The sequence below is a fragment of the Homo sapiens genome, chromosome 21 (assembly GCF_000001405.40).
Source record: "Homo sapiens chromosome 21, GRCh38.p14 Primary Assembly".
Classification (NCBI taxonomy): Eukaryota; Metazoa; Chordata; class Mammalia; order Primates; family Hominidae; genus Homo; species Homo sapiens.
Genome location: NC_000021.9, coordinates 41664530 through 41668279, shown reverse-complemented (window position 1 = coordinate 41668279; position 3750 = coordinate 41664530). Strand labels below are relative to the sequence as shown.

The 3750-nt window shown below is 56.1% G+C and overlaps 1 long non-coding RNA gene across 1 annotated transcript; it reads left to right on the top strand.

Annotated features, from left to right (window-relative positions):
* On the top strand, nt 1-2616 carry LOC107985478 (uncharacterized). Its single transcript, XR_001755103.2, has 3 exons — nt 1-146; nt 1549-1699; nt 2050-2616. It is a non-coding gene; the product is annotated as an uncharacterized LOC107985478 (long non-coding RNA).
* The last annotated feature ends 1134 nt before the right edge of the window (nt 2617-3750 follow it).

The following is a 3750-nucleotide window of genomic DNA, read 5'->3' as shown; positions in this document are numbered from 1 at the left end:
GCATCCTTAGCGCCTTGGGGGGTGGTGTTGGCGGGAGGTGCCTTGGCTTGGAATGTTCATTTCTTCTGGAAGCACCTGCTGGCTGCTCCACGTCTGGCTGTCCTGGGAAGTTTCGCCCAGGGGTCTGCCCCCAGGGTCTCTCTCGGGTAAGTATGGCGCTGTGAGCCAGGGCCAGTCTCCATCCTACTTCTGATGCCCACTGATCATTTGGTCACCTGGGTCCTGGGTTCCTCACTGGGACAGTCCGGGGAGAACTAACTGGTCTCAGGAGCCTCCTCACTTCCATGCCAATGCTGTGGGTCCCACCCTCGTGGCTCCCCCTGTACCCCGATACTCAGGCATCAGCTTCTGGCTGATCTCAGGGCTTCTCATGCCCCTGACCTTCTCAAAGTTTTCTACAGAGCATCTTCCCTTGAGAAAAAAATCAGGAGAAAAAAATTGCATCTCATTTTTACCAACCTTTAAGTGAAGTTTAGAATTTCCTTCTATTTTGAAAGTAAACCACTTGCAATGGCGTTCCTGGCTAGCAAGTGACTTTGTTCCCAGCTGAAGTCACAGAAAGGTTCATATTGCATCTCAGGTGTTGCTGCTGTCTAGAAGTGATGTTTTCACTCATCATGGTGGTAAAAGTGTGATGGTCACTAGATCCCATGCCCAGTCTTGCAATGAAATGTGCTCATAGAGAGCTCAGATACTATCATATCTAACTTTGTTTTTTGAAGTCTGGCAAATGTGTTTTAACATCATTAGTTTCCTCTGGAATCCTACATGCTATTTTGAAACACTCTGAGCAGCATCTGTGGTACAAAAGGTTCAGGAAGTCCTACTTTATAACAACACATCTCCTCCCGAACCCCAGGCTGCTTCTGGTGGGGGCTGCCCCCTCCCCTCCAGCTGGCTCTCCTGTACCCCCAGGGCTAAAACTCATGCCTTTGCCCAGGCCCAGCTCTGGTCACACATGTTCACGGAGTGCCCCTCTTTACAGAAAAGCATCCAAATGCCCTGGAAACCAAGGCTCTCCGTGAGCTGGCCCCACCCCAAATCCACCCCCAGTCCCATCTGATGAATCTGGTGTCTGTCCCCAAGCAAAGCATGTTGAATGAATGAATGCTTGTCAATCAGTCATCAAAACCAGGATGGGGTCAGCTGTGCCTGGGGAGGTCTCGAAGGCCTGGGTCCCGCCATTAACCCATGTGCTTCCCCTTTCTGCCTCTTCCCTCTTCTAGAATGAGAGGCTGTGCCCGTTTCCTTGACTCATAGGTAGTGCAGAGGTGAGGTCATCCTTGGAGCTCCCCAGGAGAGGCTGGAGAAGGGGCTGTTATGACCTTATCAGATGCTTTCCCTTGGGGGAAGCAGCCCAGGCAGGAGCCCCACCTCCCTGCGGCCCACAGGGGATGGTGGAGGGTGCAGCTAAGAGAGCACTTCCCCTTCAGATACAGCCCCGGAAGGGAAGGGTGCTTCTCCCAGAGAGGCCCCTCCGGGTCCTTTGGGGAAGTCTTCCTGTTGCCAGTCTATTCTCTTTTCTCCATTGCTGCTTCCCCACATCAGGTTGGCTTGGGAGCAAGGTGGTCCATGGGTGCCCCAACTGGAGGCCATGGAGCGCGAGGAGGAAAGCAAAGCCTTCGGGTGTGTAGATCTCCAGCCCTCAGCTGCAGTGCAGCCTGGCCCTGGGCCTCACTGAGTGCCAGTTTCCCTGAGGGTAAGATGGAGTCTCGATGCCTTTCTGGTGGGGTCGGGACTGCCATGTGCATGAGGAGTGCCATGTGTGTGTGAGGAGGAGAGGAGTGTCACATGCATGGGGAGTGCCATGTGTGTGAGGAGGAGTGCCGTGTGTGTGAGGAGTGCCGTGTGTGAGGGGTGCCATGTGTGAGGAGTGTCACGTGTGTGAGGCCAGCCCTCGTGCCAGCCTCAGGCGGTGCTCAGTCTCCAGGCAGCTTTGTGCCCTGGATGGAAGGGCAGTGATGACCTGACGCCACCCAAGGTCTCCTGGGCAGCCCTCCCCAGTGGACACTGAGGATCCCAGTGCCACCCTTCTCCCATCTTCTGCAGAGGTTGAGCTACTCCAGCTGGAGCTGTGAACACCAGCCAGCAAACCCCAGGCCAACCACTGGGACCACTGGGCCTCACAATCAGCCCTCCTGCCCGGGAAGTAAGCCAGGCTAGTGACTGCTCCACAAGATGCCAGTGCTGTTTGTAAACACACGACCCGGCTCACGAGACCTCTTCCTTGACTGTCAGAGGGGCTGTGCTGTGAGGACACGGGCTTCTCGACCCCAGAGGGAGCTGGGGTCCACTCATGGGTGGGGCAGGCCTGCTGCCAGGACACCCAGGACCCCATGGTAACCTGTAAACCTCCCCCCGCCACCCACCCACTGTGTGCCAAGTTCCAACAGGGACCTGAAGCAGGTGCTGCTAGGCTGCCCACATACCAGCCTGGAAGGGGCCATGCAACCTGGTGGTTCCCTGTGCTCCGGAACTAAGGCAGAGCAGGGAGGGAGCCTCCCCAGAAGGCTGACAAGGACCCTGGGGGCTGTCACTCAGAAGACAGGGAAAACCTGGGGCAAGGGCTCCCGCCAGCGACATCGGTCAGCCCAGCGACAGCGCTCCATCCAAGCAGCCGCTGCTTATGTGCAAAATCACAAAGGCTGTCTGAGGACCCTGTCCAAGCAGCCACTGCTTAGGTGCAGTCACAGAAGCCATCTGCGGACCGAAAGAGCATCGAGGCCGGCAGCTTTTGCACTGTTTGCCTGCCTTTAGCAGAACAGCTCTGCCTTCTTTAGAGGAAGCTGCGAAGATGCTGATAGACCGAAGGCGGCCCCACATGATCCGCTGGGCTCCCCCAGCCCTGTCTGAGCCTGCAGGGGCTCCTGGAAGCCACAGCATGAAGCCCCCCCTCTGTCCCAGCATGTCTGCTCATGGGGAGATGGGGGCCCGTGGGTGAGGCAAGTTCCCTCTCACATTCCATGCCGGCCCCAGATGAGTCAGTTTAATCCTGTAAGCCTGGGTCCGGGCGCTGCCCCTTTCTGAACATAGCATTGGGTTGAAAGCCAGCCCCACGGTTCATTGACACATTGTTGAGGACTGCTTTCCCACGACAACAGCAGAGGCGCGTGACAGAGCGCAGCATGGCCCACAAAACTGAAAATGTTCAGGATATGCCTCATTCACAGAGCTGTTTGGCTGTCCCCTGCCAAAAACAATCAAACAACGGAGCTCCAGGGTGGATCCAGGAAGGAGAAGGAGCAGATTGGGCTGGGAGGGGCTGACAGCACCCGGTCGGGTTAGACATGGGTCGTCTGAGCCGCAGCTGAACCTGGCGTTGGAAATCTCCCGTCTGAGTGGCTTACTACACAGCTTCAGCACACTGGGCCTCCACGACCGGACCCAGGGGCTTCCTTCTGAGGAGTTATCTTCATATCTTGAAGTTGGTGGAGGGATCGCAAGACCCTTTTGCTGGAAGGGAGTTAAAGAGCCAGAAACCCTTCCGGCCTCTTGTCACCTCCTCTGATTTAGCACCTGCTGTTTCTGTGATATTTTATAGACTTACCTGACCTCCAGAAAATTCAAGGAGTTTGCCAGTGGGGGACTGTCAAGCTGCTGGAGAGGTGGTCGTCACGATTTAAGCCCGTACTCACACGCTTGCTGGATAAACAAGAACCCCCTCCCTCTGCGGGTGACACCCCCAGCGTGTGACAGTTTTTAGAATCAGAACTGCTGAGGGGCACTGTCAGGTTCCCCCGTAAGCAATTA